This window comes from Homo sapiens, chromosome 11 (genome assembly GCF_000001405.40).
Source record: "Homo sapiens chromosome 11, GRCh38.p14 Primary Assembly".
In the NCBI taxonomy this organism is placed as follows: domain Eukaryota; kingdom Metazoa; phylum Chordata; class Mammalia; order Primates; family Hominidae; genus Homo; species Homo sapiens.
The window spans coordinates 60,205,146-60,226,687 of record NC_000011.10 but is presented as its reverse complement, the minus strand read 5'-3'; the positions used below and the strand labels follow the sequence as shown (position 1 = coordinate 60,226,687).

General features: G+C 39.0%; 1 protein-coding gene and 1 non-coding gene across 6 annotated transcripts in view; both read left to right on the top strand.

Moving 5' to 3' along the window:
* Nucleotides 1-21,542, top strand: part of MS4A4E (membrane spanning 4-domains A4E) — a 42,868-nt gene that overhangs the window by 16,450 nt on the left and 4,876 nt on the right. For 2 of the 5 annotated variants that reach the window (NM_001393391.1, XM_011545416.3), the window contains exons 4-7: nt 12,074-12,117; nt 13,556-13,714; nt 17,994-18,095; nt 20,868-20,974. In NM_001393391.1, the coding sequence (NP_001380320.1) occupies nt 12,074-12,117; nt 13,556-13,714; nt 17,994-18,095; nt 20,868-20,974 (412 nt within the window). Of the gene's footprint in view, nt 1-1,594; nt 1,724-12,073; nt 12,118-13,355; nt 14,179-17,993; nt 19,090-20,867; nt 20,975-21,542 lie in introns of those variants that run through there. The other 3 variants (XM_017018641.2, XR_007062493.1, NM_001351235.2) reach the window with 3 other exon arrangements.
* MIR6503 (microRNA 6503) lies at nt 17,532-17,617 on the top strand. The gene has a single exon (NR_106758.1). It is a non-coding gene; the product is annotated as a microRNA 6503 (primary transcript).

The following is a 21,542-nucleotide window of genomic DNA, read 5'->3' as shown; positions in this document are numbered from 1 at the left end:
AGTATGAAGTTAGCTGTAGTTTTATTAATAAATATTCTTTATCAACCTAAACAAGTTATCCTCTATTAATAGTTTTTCAAAAGTTTTTATAATAAACAGGCATTGGATTTTGCTCAATATTTTTCCTGCATCTGTTGATATAATCATGTGATTTTTCTTCCTTTTAGCCTGTTGATGTCATTAGTTACATTCATTGATTTTTGAATGTCTAGTCAGCCTTGCATATCTGGGATAAATCCCATATGGTTATGGTATATAATTCTTTTGATACACTATTAGATTTAGTTTGCACATGTTTTGTTGGGAATTTTTGCATCTTTGTTCACCAGAGATGTTGGTCTGCAGTTTTCTTTTCTTGTAATGTTTTTGACTTTTTTTTTTGGTAGATAATAGTGCTAGCTCCATAGAATGAGTTAGGGAGTATTTCCTCTTTTTCTGTTTTCTGTAAAGAATTGGTATAATTTCATTTTCAAGTGTTTGGTAGAATTCCAAACCTTTCCAGGCCTGGTGCTTTCTGTTTTGAAAATTAATTAATTATTTATTTTATTTATTTAATAATTATAGGCTTATTCAGAGTGCCTATTTCTTCTTGTGTGAATTTTGACAAATTGTCTTTAAGGAGCAATTCATTGGCTCAAGGTTATCAAATTGTGGGCACAGAATTGTTCGTAGAGTTATTTTATTATCCTTTTAATTACTATGGGAACTGTAGTGATATTCCCCCTTTCACTTATGAGTAATCTGTGTCCTCTCTCTCTTTCTCTTAGACTGGCTAAAGGCTTATTGATTTTATTTATGTATTTTTCTTTTTTTTAAAAAAAAGCATTGGATTTCATTGAGTTTGTCTATTAATTTTCTGTTTTTAATTTTATGATTTCTGCTCTAATTTCTATTACTTTTTTTTCTTCCGCTTACTTGGAGTTTAATTTGCTTTTCTTTTTCCAGTTTCTTAAGGTAGACTCTCAGGTGATTGATTTTGATCATTATTTTCTAATATATTCATTCAATGTTATAAATTTTTTCTAAGCACTGCTTTCACTACATCCCATAAATTTTGATAAGTTGTTTTAATTTTTTGACCCATTTATAATGCCATGAGATAATTGTACTCCAGCTCCTATTTTAAGAACGCTGTTTACTCATGTTCATGTCCTCAGGCCCAGACGTCAAGAAAACATCAGATTTGCTCTTCTTTTTTTCTTCCCTTGTATACACTCCTTTTTCTTCAGGTTACTTCCCCTTGCTACAATAATTGCTTTCTAATTCCTTGGCCACTTTTCTCTGAGTGTGTGACAAAAGAGAGAAACAGTTGCGGTAGAAGTAGCATCCTAGGTATCAGAAAAGCACCTCTGGGCTGGTTCTGGCATACTCCTTTTAACCGTGAAATGATTGACAGTGGTAGAGATGCTGAGAGATAATATTGGTAAGATAATATTCATGGTTCTTTATGTGAAAAAAAGAGTGACAACAGAATATCAAGGTCATATGACTATATCAAATGAAAAAGAATAAGGATAGCTTAGTGATTGGAAAGGGAGTGGCATAAGCACCATTTTTGTGGTGGATAATCAGTTTTTGCTTTCATCATTTCTAGGTTGTGCGGATTCTGATTGCCTTGATGAGCCTTAGCATGGGAATAATAATGATGTGTGTTGCATTTAGTTCTTATGAAGAACATCCCATTTTTGTGTATGTTGCGTACACAATTTGGGGGTCAGTGATGGTAAGCAGGGTATTTTTTGATATAATTGGATATAACATAATAGAGGTGTAAATACCCTGATCTTTGCAATTTTATTCTAATTCTATCTTGTAATTCTGTAAATTTGAGAATGGTATCTAACCTTTTTAAACTCAATTTTCTCATATTTAAAATAGTAATAATAATATAAAACTTAAAGCTAGGCGATTAAATACTTTATATAAGTCAGTTAGGATATATTACAGCAACACATTGCCAAAGACCCAAACTGGAATGACTTAAGCAATGAAAGCACTGATTGTTTCACAACAAGATTAGGGGCTTATCATTTCCAGAATTGTTTAATTTGGTGGTGTAAGGATTTCATCAAGGACTGCTAGCAGACTATACCAGAGGGGAGATGGTAGACACATCTCATTTTTGATAAATATTTTATATACATATGCCCAAATCAACTATCAGTAAGGGTAATGGACTTGCCATTACTGGCTTAGACTGATTAAGATTTACCTCTGTAGCTGGGAGGAGTCTACACTACCTTTTAGCTCAGGAAAAACTGAAGAAAATGATGGTTTAGTTAGCAAGGAAAAAGAGATGTGGCTGGTAAACAGGCAGTTTCTAATATAGAGTCTACTGACTATCAAATCTCAGGAAATTGTTACCTTAGAAAATTAAATTGTTATTTGATACATTTTGTTTCATAAGTTTAATAACAGTGACTATGATTAATATTAAATTAAAATTAGAATTGGAATTTAAGTTTAAAAACCTTTTCCCAAGAGAAAACACAAGAGAGTTTTGATGCAAATTGAAAGTAAAATTGAGAATAAAATACCAAGTCTTACCTATTGACAAAAGAAAAATAAAATTTATGAGGCGGGTTTATGTTAGAATCAAGGAATCTATTCTAGCATTATAGGGTTTCCATTTATTTCCAAAACTGAGAATGAGACAGTTTAGAGTTTTATAATAGAGCTTAATTTTTGCTCCCCTTCACTCGTGTACAGCGGAAGTGAAAGATTTGAAGGAGAGTGTATTAGTCAGGGTTCTCTAGAGGGACATAACTAATAGGATAGATGTGTATATATATAAAAGGAAGTTTATTAGGGAGTATTGAGTCACACAATCACAAGGAGAGGTCCCACAATAGGCCATCTGTAAGCTGAGGGGCAATGAAGCCAGTTTGAGTCCCAAAGCTGAAGAACTTGAAATCTGATGTTTGAGGGTAGGAAACATGCAGCACGAGAGAAAGATGTAGGCCAGAGACTAAACCAGTCTAGTGTTTCTATGTTCTTCTGCCTACTTTTATTCTGGCCACACTGGCAGCTGAGTAGATTGTGCTCTCCCAGATTGAGGGTGGGTCTGCCTTTCCCAGTCCACTGACTCAAATGTTAATCTCCCTTGGCAACCCCTTCATAGTCACATCCAGGAATGATATTTTGCATCCTTCAATCCAATCAAGTTAACATTCAATATTAACCATCAAGAGTCCACCCCTTGTCAACCTGAACCCACACACATCTCCTGAAGTCATACATGATTTTCAAATAAAGAAAATAAAGACAAAAGGCCAAAATTATGCCTAACATAATGCAGCTATTTTTTGTACAACCCAAAATGCACCAATCCCCTATACAAATGCTATTACCTAAAGTTAACAACACTTAAATGCTAATATGAAGTTAATAGGTCTTATGTCACATGGTAAAGAAAAAAGAAAGAAAATAAAATGAAGATATTTTCTTACTACAAATGTATACATGCACAAACATGTTCTTAACAAAAGAAGGAGGAAATACTCATGACAATTACGGTCTTCATTTCTGCAACTGATCACATGGTTGTAGCTGGTATTGATGACAGCCTTCTTCTACCACCGATTCTGTATTCCCTTTGCCTTCAGGAAGCACCTCAGCAGGTTGTGTTTTTTTTTTTCCTGGTGGAGTGACCAAAACCTTCATTCCAGAAGGCCTAGTCTGGGCCATTTGTAGTCCTGCCCAGATTGGGTTGTTGTAGTTTCCCATTGACCTTAATCATAGGGCATGGTAATACTAAGAGACACCCTAAGGGATCTCCTGTATTCCACACATACTTCCTTACCTCCATTGTGGAGTAGTAGACTAATTTTATCTTGATAGTCCAGGTCAGTCACCCTAGCCAACACTGTAACTCCCTTCTTAGCTGGTTGACTTAGAGGTAAGAGGAGCCCAAAATGGCCAGGTGGCAATCTTAACTTCCAGCTTAATGAAATCATTGTTGTCTCCCGGTGGCAACGTTCCTTCCTCTGGAACTAAGACCTCTAGGCCAGCAGAACATAGTGTTGTGGAAACAGGAAGCAAAAATTTTGCTGGTAGGTCACTAGGGGTGATGGTAAGTGGTGCCACTTCCACTTATACCCCTTGATTTCTGGACCCACAAATCTTGGCTATAGCAGAAACAGTACCTTATATTAGACGCTGATTCAGAGCATGCACAGCCTTCTGGAGAACATTGCCCCAGCCCTGAAAAGTATTGTCACCTGGTTGATGTTGTAATTGTGACTTCAAAAGGACATTCCACCATTCTATCAATCCAGCTGCTTCAGGATGATGGGAAACATGGTAAGACCAGTGAATTCCATGAGAATGAGCCCACTGCCGCATTTCTTTAGCCAACAAGTGAGTGCCTTGGTCAGAGGCAATGCTATGTGGGATACCATGACAGTGGTTAAGGCATTCCATGAGTTCTTGGATTGTAGTCTTGCCAGAAGCATTGTGTGCAGGATAGGCAAACCCATATCCAAAGTAAGTGTCTATTCTGGTGAGGAAAAACCGCTGCCCTTTCCGTGATGGAAGAGGTCTAATATAATCAACTTGCCACCAAGTAGCTGGCTGATCATTCCGAGGAATGGTGCTATATTGAGGGCTCAGTGCTGGTCTTTGCTGCTGGCAAATTAGGTGCTCAGCAGTGGCCATAGCCAGGTCAGTGAATGGAAGTCCATGTTGCTGAGCCCATGCATATCCTCCATCCCTGCCACCATGGCCACTTCGTTCATGGACTCATTGGGCAATGACAGGGGTGGCTGGAGAAAGAGGCTGACTGGTGTCCATAGAATGAGTCATCCTGTTTACTTGATTATTAAAATCCTCCTCTGCTGAGGTCACCGTTTGATAAGCACTCACATGAAATACAAATATCTTCACAGTTTTTGACCACTCGGAGAGGTCCATTCACATACCTCTTCCCAAAATTTATTTGTCACCAATTTTCCTATCATGCTTCTTCCAAGTCCCTGACTACTCAGCCAAACCATTGGCTATAGCCCATGAATCAGTATATAATTGCAGATCTGGCCATTTCTCCTTCCAAGCAAAGTGCACAATGAGGTGCAGTGCTCAACATTCTGCCCACTGGGACGATTTTCCTTCACCGCTGTCCTTCAGGGATGTCCTAGGAAGGGGCTGTAGTGCTGCAGCTGACCACTTTGAGGTGGTGCCTGCATATCGTGCAGAGCCATCTGTAAACAGGGCCCTTGTCTTCTCTTCCTCTGTTAATTGATCCTGGGGAACTCCCCATGAGACCATCAGTGCAGGCTGGGGGAGAGAAGGCAGTGTGGCAGGAATGGGGATCATGAGCATTTGTGCCACTTCCTCATATAACTTACTTGTGCCCTCAGGAGTTGCTCAAGCCTGATCACATATATGCCACTTCCATTTGATGATGGAATGCTGCTGTGCATGCCCCACTTTTGGCTAGACAAGTCAGAAAGCACTCAATTCATGATAGGTAGTTCAGGTCGCATGGTGACTTGATGACCCATAGCCAACCGTTTAGTTTCTACCAAAGTCCAGTAACAGGGCAAGAGCTCTTTCTAAAAAGGAAAGTAGTTATCTGCAGAAGATGGCAGGGCCTTCCTCCAAAATCCTAGAGGCCTCTGCTGTGATTCATCTATGGGGGACTTCCAAAGGCTCCTAACAGCATCCCTCTCTGCTGCTGACACCTCAAGCACAATTAGATCTGCTCTGTTCTATGGCCCAAGTGACAGAGCAACTTGCATAGCAGTTTGGACCTGTTGCAGAGCCTTCTCCTGTCCTGGACCCCACTCAAAACTGGAAGCCTTTCAGGTCTCTTGATTAATGGGCCAAGTAACACCCCCAGGTAACGAATGTGTGGCCTCCAAAACCCAAATAAGCCCACTAGGCATTGTGAGTCTTTCTTGGTTGTAGGGGGTGGGGGCAAATACAGCAACTTATCCTTCACCTTAGAAGGAACATCTTGACAGGCCCCACACCACTGAACCCCTAGAAATTTTACTGAGGTAGAAGGTCCCTGAATTTTAGTCATATTTATTTCCCATCCTCTGGCATGCAAATGTCTTACCAATAAGTCCAGTGTGCTTGCTACTTCTTGCTCACTGGATCCCATCAGTATAATGGCATCAATATAATGGACCAGTGTGATATTTTGTGGAAGGGAAAAGTGATCAAGATCTCCCTGAACAAGGTCATGACACAAAGCCAGAGAAGAGTTGATATACCCCTGAGGTAGGACAGTAAAGGTACATTGCTGGTCTTGCCAGCTGAAGGTAAATTGCTTCTGGTGGGCCTTATAGACAGGAATGGAGAAAAAGGCATTTACCAAATCAATGGCTGCTTACCAGGTACCAGAAGATGGGTTAATTTGCTCAAGCAATGAAACCACATCTGGTACAGCAACTGCAACTGGAGTCACTACTTGGTTAAGCTCATGATAATCCACTGTCATTCTCCAAGATCCATCTGTCTTCTGCACTGGCCAAATGGGAGAGTTGAATGGGGATGTGGTGGGAATCATCACCCTTGCATATTTTAAGTCCTTGATGGTGGCACTAATGTCTGCAATCCCTTCAGGGATGGGATATTGTTGTTGATTTACTGCTTTTCTAGGTAGAGGCAGCTCTAATGGCTTCCATTTGGCCTTTTCCACCATAGTAGCCTTCACTCTATGAGTCAGGGGCCAGTGTGGGGGTCCTGACAGCTGCTAAGCATGTCTGTGTCAATTATGCATTCTGGCACTGGGGAAATGAATGCAGGATGAGTGTGGGGACCCACTGGAGCCACTGTAAGTTGAACCTGAGCTAAAGCTCCATTAATTACATGACCTCCATAAGCCCCTACTATAACTGGAGGATCACAATGACTTTTTGGGTCCCCTGGAATCAATGTCAGCTCAGAGTCAGTGTCCAGTAGTTCCCAAAAGGTCTGATCATTTTTTCTTTCTTTCCCCAATCCAGTTACCTGGTAAAAGGCCAGAGGTCTCCTTGAGGAAGGATGGGAGAAAGATTAACAACATAAATTGTCAGTAGTATAGTGGGATCCTTCTTTAAGAGGACCTGGCCTCCTTTTCATTCAAGGGGTTCTGGGTCTGTAAAATGGCATATGTCTGGAAATTGATAGTGGGGCTGCGATTCTCTGTTTTTATAATTCAAATTAGTGTTTTGTCCACTCGACCTGGAAGTTTTCTGCTTATGTAAATTAAGTAAGAATTCGGTAAGCTTCCTGTCAATTTCACTTCTAGGAACGCTGTAATTAATTAGCCAATACCAGAGCTCTACACAAGTCAGACTATTCTGATTGCTGCTTTGCCTCTTCTGTCTATTATGGTAGCTATGCCTACCTTTCCTTTGATGGCTGAGTGCTGCCATTTGGCCCCTGCTGTCTCTAGATCCAATTATTTTTATTGCATTTAAATTTTGTAGTTGAGTGACTACAGTTTCTACTGTAAGATCTGGCATACAGAGAAAGGCAATCACAGAGCTCTTCAAGGATGCAAGTGCTGCCCTCTCAAATCTATTTCACAAAGTACTGGTCAAGGGTATATCTTCTGAACCCTCCCAGCTGGGATGAATAGGCTTAAAGTGACTAATCCACTCCTTCATCACAATCTGCCTAAGCCTTTGGATCCCTTCCTCTACATTAAACCAAGGAGATCAGGCATTTTCAGCTCACCCACAGTGGGCCATCTTTTAATCCATATTTCAGCTAACCAAGCAAATAAACTAGAACTTTTTTAACTCTGCAAGCTGCAACATTAAATGCAGAATCCCTGCTTAGAGGGCCCAAATCAATAAATTCAGCCTGATCCAACTCTATGTTCTTCCACCATTATCCCACACCCTTAATATTCATTCCCATGCCTGTTTTCCAGATTTCTGCTTATATAAATTAGAAAACTCAAGCAGTTCTTTTCAAGTGTAGCACACTTTCTTGTGTATCGCATTCTGAACCTCACCTCTAGGGGCCTGCTGGGACTTTAGTTATAGGTCTAGAAGCAAACAGGGGCCTTGGGAGTGGGTCCTAAGGAGAATCAACATTGTCTTGCTTGGCAACACCTGAGGAGAAGGCCATCACTATCGGGGAACCTGCCCCGATAGTCACGTAGGTTCTTTTCTGTTTTCCCTAAGCGTTGGCTGGCTTGAGAAATAAAGGGACAGAGTACACAAAAGAGAGAAATTTTAAAGCTGGGCATCCAGGGAAGACATCACATGTCGATAGGTTCCGTGACACCCCACAAGCTGCAAAAACCAGTAAGTTTTTATTAAGGAGTTTCAAAAAGGGAGGGAGTATGCGAATAGGTGTGGGTCACAGACATCAAGTACTGTACAAGGTAATAGAATATCACAAGGCAAGTGGAGGCAGGGCGAGATCACAGGACCACAGTACCGGGGTGAAATTAAAATTGCTAATGAAGTTTGAGGCACCATGGTCATTGATAACATCTTATCAGGAGACAGGGTTTTGAGAGCAACTGGTCTGACCAAAAATTTATTAGGCGGGAATTTCCTCTTCCTAATAAGCCTGGGAGCGCTATGGGAGACTGGGGTCTATTTCACCCCTACAGCCTCGACCATAAGAGACCGGCACATCTGGGGGGCCATTTATAGGCCTATACCCCCAGGCGCGTATTCTCTTTCCCAGGGATGTTCCTTGCTGAGAAAAAGAATTCAGCAATCTTTCTCCCATTTGCTTTTGAAAGAAGAGAAATATGGCTCTGTTCTGCCCGGCTCACCGGTGGTCAGAATTTAAGGTTCTCTCTCTTATTCCCTGAATAATTGCTGTTATCCTGTTCTTTTTTCAAGGTGCCCAGATTTCATATTGTTTAAACACACATGCTGTACAATTTGTGCAGTTAATGCAATTATTACAGGGTCCTGAGGCGACTTACATCTTCCTCAGCTGACAGGATTAAGAGATGAAAGTAAAGACGGGCATAGGAAATCACAAGGGTATTGATTGAGGAAGTGATAAGTGTCCATGAAATCTTTACAATTTATGTTTAGAGATTGCAGTAAAGGCAGGCATAAGAAATTATAAAAGTATTAATTTGGGGAACTCATAAATGTCCATGAAATCTTCACAATCCACATTCTTCTGCCATGGCTTCAGCCGGTCCCTCCGTTTGGGGTCCCTGACTTCCCACAACACATCACTGTTGCATTAGGCAGCGCAGGGTTTATCTCCTTAGACAAAGGTGAAAAGGCTGATGGCAGTGTGGGTTAGGGAGGGGATGTTGCCACTACTGGTGATGGGGAAGCTGTTTTTTCTGGCAAAAAAAAGGCTCCTGAGAGTTTACAAGCTCAGTGTCCCCAGCTTCATCAAGGTTCTACCGCACATCCCCATTCCAAGTTGCAGGGTCCCATTCTTTTTCAATCAATGCTCTCGCTTTAACAGTAGACACCTGGTGAGTCTATGCATGCACCTTTTGTTGCAGGTCAGCAAATCGCATGATAAAAGCTTGTGTCTGAGTGTCCACAATTTCAGCTCTTTCTCTACAGAAGATAAGACTCTCACTCAGGGCAATCTTAGAAGATTTGAGGCTCAGTATCTGCTTCTGAAGCTTAGAGTTAGAATCCCTGAGTTCATAATTTTCTTTCATCACTTTGTCCAGTGAACTTAGGAGCAAAACCAAAAAAAGAACTCCATCCTTAATATTCTGTTTTTCTAGATCATCTCCTGGTACCAAAATCTGTATTAGTCAGGGTTCTCTAGAGGAATAGAACTAATAGGATAGTCAGGGTTCTCTAGAGGGATAGAACTAATAGGATAGATGTATACATAAAGGGCAGTTTATTAAGACCAGAAGACTAAATGAGTCTAGTCTTTCCATGTTTTTCTGCCTCCTTTTATTCTGGCTATGCTGGCAGCTGATTGACTGAGGATGGGTCTCCCTTTCCTAGTCCACCAACTCAAATGTTAATCTCCTTTGTCAACACCCTCACAGACACACCCAGGAACAATACTTTGCATCCTTCAATTCAATCAAGTTGACACTCAATATTAACCATAACAGACAGCAAACACTGTTCCATCTCTGGAAAGTTGCAATATATATATATACATATGATATATAACCTATATATATAATATATATATTACCAATGTCAATAATAGCTTTTTATTAAACTCTTACTATGATCTGGACATTCTGCTAAGTGCTTTTTATGTGTACTTTTTATTTCACATCATCACCACAAACTTTTGAGGGAGGATTTCTCATTATCTTCATTTTATGGATGAAGAGAGGTTAAGTAACTTGCTCAAGATCACAACTGTTTGGTACAGGATCAGGGTTCAAATAGGGTCACTCCATTATCAGAATCACATACATGTAACTACCTAGGTTTCCGCTTTCATGTCCATTTTCTTTTCAAGATCTCATTGAAAACCAGCTTACATGGTTTTAGCCTTCCACACGTGTTCAGTAGATTACCAAGAACTGCAGGAGCTGTGTTTGTCCACTGAGTCATCACTCAGACTCTTGTAGGCATTGAACTAGATTGGTAAATGCAGTAAATTGGTAAAACCCTTTTTTGCTGCTACCTTCCATTATTCTTTCAACCTTTTTTTCCGAACATCACCTGCAAAGTGCCTCTCTTTTCTCCCTTTTACAGTATAAGTACCAGTACCAAGAGCCAGCTGTAAGTTTGTATTATCCTTGGCCTCTTCAGTTCTATTCCTATTTATGTTTCACATTCTTTGTTAAGTTTTTCCTCTGAGATACCATATACATATTTTTTCCTGTGGTAAATGAAATCCCTTTTTTCAATCCTATCTTCAAATACACAAACATACATACACACTTCTAATATGTTTATCTAATTTCTGTATATAACATTTTTCCAAGGTGCTTTACTGAATTTTTTAAAGAGTTTATGGTACTTTTTAGTTTATATTCTTGGATGTTTGCAATATATGTTATTCATACTTAAATAACAGTAGTTTTAGCCATTTGTTTCAACTATTTTTCTTATATAATTATTTTGGTTAATATACCCCAAATAGTAATACATAATAGTCTACATGTTTATCTTGATTTTGACTTTAATAAGATGGTCCTACTTTTTTTTTAATCATTAAACATGATAAAGACTTGTAGACTGAGACAGATGTCCTATCTTGTTACAGAAAGTATAATTATTTATATTTTACCAATAATGTTTAAGTCACTAATAATGTTGGATTGTATTAAATGTCCTATCCTATCAACACTGTAAACATGAGTAGCAATTAACAGGTAACGTTTTTCTTAAATTTATTTATTATATATATTAGAATATTTCAATATTAAAAATCTTTGTAGAGTTGAAGGAACATCCCAAATGTTCATGATGTATTTTATGTTACATGATGGATGATTTGCTCTACTGTTATTTTTTTTCCAATGGTGATTTAGATAACATGAATCATCTCTATGTCTGGGTATTTGGAAACTAAAGAAGTTTATTGAGCTATTTTATTAGTCCAGTTTCTTTATATTAGGATATAATTTTTGAATCATCTGAGATCAAATTTGTAAAGGAAATAAAAAACTCTAATAATGGAATATTATAAGGTAGAGAGTCCAACCAACTTGATTAGCTATTTTGGCTAAATGAAAAATAATTGCCCCATTGATGGATTCAGATGAAGTAGTATATTCTAGTTATCAAATAACTGGGAACTAAATTTTATGTGCTACTATTTTATTTTATAACTTTTTAAACATATTTTCAATGAGAATTATTTTAGTACATTTTTTGTTTATTGTATTCAATATTAATACCATATAAGAATTACTTCTTATCAGGAATTTGGAAGCTTTATCTTTCAGTGTCCTCAAACAGTTTTAATATCATTCCAGTTAGCTATTATTTGAAAGGCTTGATAAATTATCCGGTGGACTCATCTGGCAGAATTTTTCTGTTCTTTCTGGGAAAAGAGAAAATTATGTGCAATCTCTTGCTTTCTAAGATAATTGACCTGTTTATACATATCTATCTAATTTGGAATAAAGTTTACTAAGTTGTGATTTCCAATACTTGTTTAAAACTTTTTATCTCCATTTTTTTCTCTCATTCTTATTTTATTATTTCAGTATCCTTATCAGTTGCAGCAGGAATTAGAACAACAAAAGGTCTGGTGAGTAATGTTTTGTGGGGGGTATCAAAAGGAAAGGATTAATCAATAATGTATTCTGCCAGGGTATAAAACAGGTTTTGTTTGTTTGTTTTTAAAAAAGTCAGGAGCAACTATGCATTTTACTTAGCAGGATCTGTCTCAAAAATTACGATAAGGCTAATGATAGAATTACTGACATAATAATGGATATTTTGTCAAGGTAGTTGATGAGGGAATCTTTATGAAGATATGGAAAATTATTTAGAACAAATATGAAGTGGGATCACTCAAAAAAACTCTGCAGCTTGGGATTCAGCCCATGACAGTCACACCAAGTATTGGTGTGGCATAATGTTTATTGACCAATTGATTAAAAGGTAGATTCTGGCCGGGCGCGGTGGCTCATGCCTGTAATCCTAAGACTTTGGGAGGCCTAGGTGAGTGGATCATTTGAAGTCAGGAGTTTGCAACCAGCCTGGCCAACATGGTGAAACCCCTTCTCTACTAAAAATACAAAAAAATTACCAGGCGTGGTGACGGGCGCCTGTAATCCCAGCTACTCAGGAGGCTGAGGCAGGAGAATTGCTTGAACCCTGGAGGCGGAGGTTGCAGTGAGCTGAGATTGTGCCACTGCACTTCAGCCTGGTGACAGAGCAAGACTCCATCTCAAAAAGGAAAAAAAAAAAGTAGATTCCAACTGTATCCAAAAAGGATTTTGAATTTTCAATATAAGAAATTCACAATAAAATTATTACATAAGAAGCAGCAAATTTAAAATGTAACTCTCATGTCAAGATGCCTTTCATAAAGCCAATAAAATGCAAAAGCCAAGATCTCAACAAGGGTTTTTCTGGCTAAACACTATTTGAGTTTTCTTTGTTCAAAAGATAAATATCAAACTCTGGAGCATGATCAATATCGGTTTTCCAAATCTGGCCTAACCCAACTTCCTAGTGTCTGCCGGGACCTGCAGCCACACTACACTCTTCACACTTTCCTGTGTAATTTTAATACTTATAAAAAGCCTCCTTACCTTACCCATGAGAAGAGAAAGTACAAAAAGGAATACACAACCGAGAAAAATAATTTAAAATGTAGAGAGGCATGAGAGGCAAGCAGTGTTTAGAACAATGATAAGAGATCGGGCACCAGAAGCAAGGAATGGCAGGGAAGGACACAGACATGACTGTCCAGCTAATGTGTAAAAAATCATTGAAAACCCTGATAAATGATTTGGAGATTATCTCATCTTCTCACAGGAATTATCTGAAGAATTTAAGCTGGAGAATAATGGGATCATATTTGTGTTTTGGCGAGAGATCAGAGTTGAAACCACTATAAGGAGACAAGTTAGAAGACTATTGAAATAAGATAAAGGTAGACAGCAGTGTAAAGTAATTAACAGAGATATATCTGAGGATGATGTTGGATTGCTTAATTAATTTTCATTTCTTTCTAGGTTGGAGGTAGTCTAGGAAAGAATATCACCAGTTCAGTCTTGGCTATATCAGGGATCTTAATCAATGCAATAAGCTTGACGTTTTATTCATTCCGTTACCATTACTGTAACCACGATCAGTTGTCAAGTAATTGTTACATGACTATGTCCATTTTAATGGTGAGTGTTTTCTCTTTTCATGAGATATTATCATAGAAGCAAGTTTAGGGGAGTGCTGGCTCTGGCAACAACAATAATTATCATTTCCTAATTGCTGAATGACTTTGGAAGTTGTAAGTGATTGAGAAATAGAATAATCTTTCATTTAGGAGTCAGGTACACATCTCATCTCTGTCTTTATTTTTCCTCTATATGTGATGAGGCAAAATGGGAAGAAAGCTTATAGTTATAGAACACCTACTCCTTAATAGTTACTGGGCTGGGCATTTTGCATAAATTTTTATGTTTAATTTTAAAACATTGATGCAGTGTCTACTGTTATCTCCTCCAGACCCCTCTAAAAATGGCGTCAAAAAGTCAGTCCCAGCCGGACACGGTGGCTCACGCCTGTAATCCCAGCACTTTGGGAGGCCGAGCCAGGCGGATCACGAGGTCAGGAGATCGAGACCATCCTGGCTAACATGGTGAAACCCCATCTCTACTAAAAATACAAAAAATTAGCCAGGCATGGTGGCGGGCACCTGTAGTTCCAGCTACTCGGGAGGCTGAGGCAGGAGAATGGCGTGAACCCAGGAGGTGGAGCTTGCAGTGAGCCGAGATAGTGCCACTGCAGTCTGGCCTGGGCGAAAGAGTGAGACTCTGTCTCAAAAAAAAAAAAAAAAAGATGTCAGTGCCTATTCTCAAATAATAAAGTAAAATTGTCTTGAACAGTATTTTATAAGTGGTAACTCAGTATCCTTTCCCACATCTTTGGATGTTCTTGCAACGTTAACCACTTTTATCCTCAACATGTGGCACCTGAAAAATTCTCAATCTCCATTCTGAATTTTACTACTTTTTTTGTACCAGTTGTCCTTATTTCAATGCTATCTCAATTGCTTTATTCTGAAAATTACCACTTACACAACATTTTGTAAGTAATAAAAGTTCTTGATGTTTTGGGCCATTGGGTAAGTGTGGGGGAAGAGTTCTTGCAGCACATCACAGCAGACTAAAATGCACAATTTAATCTTTATAATTATTATTATTATTATTGTTAGAGATGGAGTTTCACTCTTGTTGCCCAGGCTGGAGTGCAGTGCAGTTCACAATGCACGTGGTGGCACAATCTCTGCTCATTGCAAACTCCACCTCCTGGGTTCAAGTGATTCTCCTGCCTCAGCATCCCAAGTAGCTGGAATTACAGGCATGTGCCACCACGCCTGGCTAATTTTTGTATTTTTAGTGGAGACGGGGTTTCTCCATGTTGGCCAGCCTGGTCTTGAACTCCTGACCTCAGGTGATCCACCCACCTCGGCCTCCTAAACTGCTGGGATTACAGGTGTGAGCCACTGTGCCCAGCCAAATCTTTATTATTAAAAAGCCTACTGGTCATTTTCAACACCACCAAACTTTCAGTTACTTTTCCTCTCTATGAACTTTCAGCCTTTCGCCTTGCTGCTTAGTTCTTTTCCTCACTGTGCCCTTCCCTCATGTGTATGTGGAAACTCAACACTCTTCCTAACTTACTAGACAGAATCAACTGCATTCTGTTTACTTCATTTCTAGCTAATCCCACATAGTCTTGAGGGCTACGTAGTCACACCAAAATAACCGCTTGAGGTGTCTTTGCGAAACTAATTTACTTCCCTTGAGATATCTAATGCTTTTTATAGTAAGTAATTTTATTTCTTGCCACTCACTCAAGATAAGAAAAGAAAGTTTCTTTTGAGAATTTGACAAATTTTCCCAATGTCACTCAGTTAGAAATTGGCAAAAGCAAGATTCAATTGTAGAACTTCTTGTCTCTAATTTCCCTCTTATTTGCTATTGCTATCCCGAAGAAGAACCTTACTTTTAGTTTATGAGGCTCTCTTCATTCATAGACTTTAATGGCACAATGATAGAGACAAAATCTGGAATTGGCCAGGTTCATAGGGCTGATTTCGTGGGCATGGGACCTGTGCAGTTACTCAGGACCTCAGAGTTAGAAGAGCCCTGTGCTTGGTCTAATGCTCTGCTGTTGCTATCTTGAAATTATTTTTAAAAATTTTAAACAAGACACTCTGTAAATTACGTAGCTGGTTCTGCATTCATCTCAATCACCTTTCCCAGAGGTCATGATGAATTCCTATTAACTGTGTGAACATTTTTATGCCTGTTCTAATAGCAGAGGACTTCCATAAGAGCTTTCTGGAATTTGAAGCAATGAGTCTCTTCTTGCCTGGGCACCTTTACATTCAGTCCACAGGTCTATGAGCCCATAGTGTATGCCCCATCACAGGGTTGGCACCCTGGTAGACATAAGAAAGAGAACAGTTCCCTACCACAAAGGAACTTTGGTTCTCCTGGAAGAAAAAGATAGAAATGCTGGAAAGCATATAATTATTAAAGAGGCCAGAAAAAGTTGAGCTCTAGAAAAAAGTAGTTAGAGTCTACCACCCGGAATCATTAGGCAGAACCATATGAAATTGCCAATGATCAACTATACTTAACCTAGAAAGACAGCAGTTTCGTATAGCTCAAGCTAAGATATATATGTAATTTTAATAAGAGAGTCTATAAATTACATAGCTGGTCCTGCATTCATTTCAGTCACCTTTCCCAGAGTCCATGATGAATTCCTGTTAATTGTGTAAACATTTTTATGCCTGTTTTTATAGCAGGGGACCTCCATAAGGGCTTCCTGGGATTTGAAGCAATGGGTCTATTCTTGCCTGGGCACCTGCACAATCAGTCCACAGGTCTATATACATGCTATGTTTTTGGAAGTCCAGCCCTGTATTTGTTTTTGTAAATAAAGTTTTATTGAAATGTAACGAACCCATTTATTTACATATTGTGTATTGCTGCTTTTGTGTTATAATAACAGGTTTGAATGTGTGTGCCAGAGACCTTACGGTCTGCAAAACCTAAAATGTACATTATCTGGCCTTTACGGAAAGCTTGCCATCTTCTAGTCTACACTTCTAGATGGTAAAATCCTTGAAGACAGGGGAATTGTCTGTTTTGTTTGCTGTTCTATATTCTGTGCCTACAACAATGTTTGAAACACAGAGGCCGCTACAGCTGTTGAAGGCACAAGAAAATAAAAAAGCAATGAATGCAAATATTCTCAAGGTCTCCTTAAGTCTGCCTCACTCATATCCTGAGCTCTTGGTCTATTGGCTCTTCCGCAACAGAGGGACTATCCCTAACCATGGAGAGAAAAAGAGAGAATATTTAAACCAGATAATCCCTGCATCAGTCCGGGGTAAAATTAATAGAAATAAGTGTACTGCCCAATTGTTCTCCAAATTTTGACTATGTTTCTTGGCTGAAGACTAGCCCTAAAGCCAGTGCTCTGGGGAGATGGATTAAAGACTGACCTACGTGATGTTCATTGTTGTATTAGCTTCTTATTGTTACTGTAACAAATTACTACAAATCATTAGGCAGAACCATATAAAATCATTTAGTGTCTCAAGACAATACAGTTTGGTTATCTTCTGTTTCTGGAGGTCAGAAGTTCAAAGTGGGTCTCACTGGGCTAAAATCAGTGTGGGCAAGGCCGTACTCCTTTCTGAAGGCTTAGGCAACAATAAGTTTTACTGCCTTTTCTGGCTTCTGTAGGCTGCCTACCTTTCTTGGTTTGTCATCCCATCCTCTACCTTCAAATCAAGCAATGCAGCATCTTCAAAACTCTCTTGAACTCTATTCTGCCTCTTGCTTCCACTTATAAGGATTCTGTCATTACTTTGAACCCACCTGAATAATCCAGGAAAATTCTCTCATTCCAGCTAATAAGCAACCTTGATTTCAGCTGCAAATTTAATCCTTTTTGTTGTGCAAAAAGAACAATGGTCCCCCCAGGGAGGTCTGCATTCAAATCCCCAGAAGCTGAGGATTAGGGGACTAGGATGCAGACCTCCCTGGGGGACCATTACTCTGCTTACAATCACGAAGATATGGAATCATAGTATTTTTTCAATGATATGAGTTTCTAGTACTCAATAGGATATGATGACAATTATCTTTATACTACCTTCCTAACATTTTAAAGCACTTTCATCTTCCATGCCCACAATAGCACTGGGAGGTGCTGAACTAGGGAATAAATGTCTGTGATTATTTTATTAGTGAAAAAAGTGAGAAGCTACTTCAGCAGATCAAGAATTGGTCAAGGGTATGGCTGCCATTGGGAGGCAGGTTTCCTGACTCCCAGCCAGTGCTTTTTCTCTTATGACACTGTGGTTGCTGGGAAATGTTTTCACTTGTCATCTCCATTTCTCACATTCCCTTGTTATGAGTTTTCTCCTAGGGTACGGATGGCATGGTGCTCCTCTTAAGTGTGCTGGAATTCTGCATTGCTGTGGCCCTCTCTGCCTTTGGATGTAAAGTGCTTTGTTGTAGCCCCAGTGAGGTCAGTATTGGCCTTCATTTGAAGGTATCTGTATTACTTTTGTATTGCTGTATAATCAGTTAAACAAACTTATAGTCTTAACACAGTACACATTCATTATATTTCAGTTTCCATGGATCAAGAGTCTGGGCCCAGTGGATGTGGGTCCTTGGTTCAGGATCTTATGACTCTGTCATCAGGGAGTTGGCCGGGGCTGTGGCCTTGTCTAAAGCTTCTGATTCTCTTTCATGTGAATGTGGCGGAATTAATTTCCTTTAAGTTGAGGACTCATGACAATGTACTTTTTCTTTGAGACCAGCAGGAGAGCCAGAGTCTCTAGTGCTTTAATCCTCTCATAAAGCATTCACATGAAGAGGTGAGGTCCATCCAGAATAATGAGTTTTTTTATAAACTGAAAGTCAACAAATCAGTCCTACATACGGGACTTGTATCCCATCTTATACACAGGTTTCATCCACACTTGAGAGAAGGGAATCACAAGGGGTCAGTGAGTGTCACCTTAGAACTCTGCCTAGCACAAGAGCTAAATAAAAGCTCTTTTTCCCCTTCCTTTCTCAAAGGGCATAACCTCTGAATCCAGATAAGAAAATATTTCACAATGAAGAGGTCCCCAAAAGTACTTGGTTTTATTCTATTATCCTATTACAACAACTTTTCCTGGAATACGGAAGGAATGTCATGATCTCAGACTTCTCTATCAGTCTGTGCCCACCTGCCCACTCTCTTACCCTGAGACCTGCAGCAGATGCTCCTGGCAGTTAAGCCAAAAGAAAGTTACACAGAGAGAGGAAAGTGAGGAATGGAAGGAGAGAAGAAATCAAGAAAGAGGCTCTAAGAATAATGGGGTGGGATATCCTCCTAGAATTGAGGGTTCCAGAATGAGGAAATGGATAGTAAAACCCCAACAGCTACTCATTAGCTTCATTACCCAAAGTCTGAAAGGCAGACAAAACCGTCAGCCAAAGAATAAAGTAATTGTAGTTTGAGGAGATTGTTTCTCTGGTGCCCTTCTCCATCATTTTGTGCCTCTCTGTCTTCTTTAGGGATTCCCAGGCAATACCATATCCCACTCCCCGACAACCCTCCCTCATAGAAGAGAGATTGACTATAGCGCATTAACTCTAGTGGTGGGGTTTTGCATTGTAAAACCCTAGAGGTGAGAGATTCTCAGCAATTACCAATGATTTTGTAATTTCATCAAGTGAAGTAACTTTCATGTCATGATATTTAAGTCTGTGTTCCCTTTGGCTCTTTGCATAGAAGCTGGGGAATGTTGTTTCCCTAATCCCCTGGTTTGAGTCCAGAAAAGCAGTGGCTTTGGGGCATATCTTGGCTAAATCTCTATCTCTTCCTGGTCCCCCACCGTGCCCTACCAATCGAATGTTGCACTGAGTTTGTGGAAGAATAACCAGAACTTTTCTTAGTTTTGTGATGATCCCTGCTATTCCAGGCCAGTGTGGTTTTTGCAATGCTTTATTTGTAACCAGCAAATCATGATTTGGGTATGTTGATGTCATCAGCATGAACAACCTGGTTTGGAAGAAGAGCCCCATATTTTTCATGATACCTTGGTTTACCCATCATATTGTGCACTGTCATCCACATGTAAGATTGATCCTCTTGCGAGACCAGGGCAGTGGTCATCAGCAGCTCAGGTCAAGAGCTATCACTGAATGTTGTGTCCTAAATCTAGCCTGATCTAAAGAATGACTGAGAATCCCCACATGACTGATATTGAGAATGAATCAGAGAAGAAAAGAGTAAACTCTGATAATGATGACTTTATGTGGGCAGGAAAGGGGCACTCTGAGGTGATTTGGGTGACTCACCTATGGCATTCTGATTGTTTGTGCTAATTACACCATCAAATTCTCACATGGCAGAAATAGCATCTCCCACACCACTTAAGACAGTTTGATGCCACCAAAAGATTAACAGAAGAATGCTCCAGAAATCTATGCTGACTGTAACACAAGAACCCCACATGAGAAAGTACCAGAATCCAACTCCAATACTGATAGACATATTGATATCATTATTATATGGAATCCAATTATGACCTCTGTGTGTGTGTGTGTGTATATATATATACGTATATATATACATATATATATATATGTGTGTGTGTGTATATATTCAAAATTTTGTTCTCATTTTTTCCCCTGGAACTCAACAACTAATTTCATTGGCCCTTTATCGAGAGTACTAGAAGTTAAATTAATAAATAATGCATTTAATGAGGCAGCAGCACTTGAAAGGTTTTCATTCATCATTAGGACTTTATATAAAGGCATTAAACTGGCAAATAAGATTTGGAAGCAGAAGGGCAAAAAGGTATTGCTAAAACGAGGTCTCCATGCAAAACACATACTTCTGCTCCCCTGTATAACATTCCTCTCACTTACTTGACTTTTTTTCTGCCATATTTGGGGACCAAAGTGCTTTTTCCTTCATGAAGTGGAGATTCATGCCCTTCTCCCCCATCCTTTTCCTTCTGCTTTCCTTCACCCATAGAAAGTACCTTGGAATAGTATAGTCAGTCCTTGCATGTGCACAAGCTATCATTTCAGTAAAGGTATACATGGAGTAAAAATCATATGAAGGATCAGATTCAACTTATATTTTCTATTTTTTCTTCTTCCTCTCCCTTCCCCCACCTTCTGCTGGGCAGAATTATATCTTAATCAAATGTGTATCCTGTGTCACATATGGAAATGTGCAACATATGGTATTTGTTAATGTTTGTTAATTACATTTGCTTTTTTATTGCAGAGCAAAAATAAAATTAGAAGCAATACTTTCATGTGCTACCTCCTTTCTATTCAGATGCAATATGATGGAAAGAGACTAAATGTTGATGTCGACAGTACTGTATGGTGGTAAATAATGTGGACTTTCTAATCAGACAACCCTGGGTTTTCATCTTGCTATCCCATCTTTGTTGTTTACTACCTATGTAGCTATGAACATGCCACAAAATTTATCTGTGCTTCATATTTCTCTTCAGCAAAATAGTAATAATATTGTCTGGCCCATAGACCTATGATAATTTCTTGGTATAATAAAGATAGAGCAATTAGTACTCTGGTACATATGGAGCCTCAAAAGCTTTAATTAATACATATACATATGTACATATATACATATTATTTATATTTGTCAGTTCATCATTTTATTCAGCATATATTTGTAAAGTATCTACAATGGGGCAGACATTGTTTTAAGCATATAAGAAAATAGCGGTGAATAAGAGAGATAATATCCTTCCTCTTGTAGGTTAAACTTTTATGGGACAGGACACAGATTAACATAAAACAATCAAAACATTTTTATATGCTGTTAGAAGCTAACTGTAAGAATTAATGTGCTGGAGAGTGGTTGTTGGTAGTGGTTGTGAAATATGAGTCATTAGAGAGTAACCAGGAAAGTTCTTTTTGAGGAAGCGAT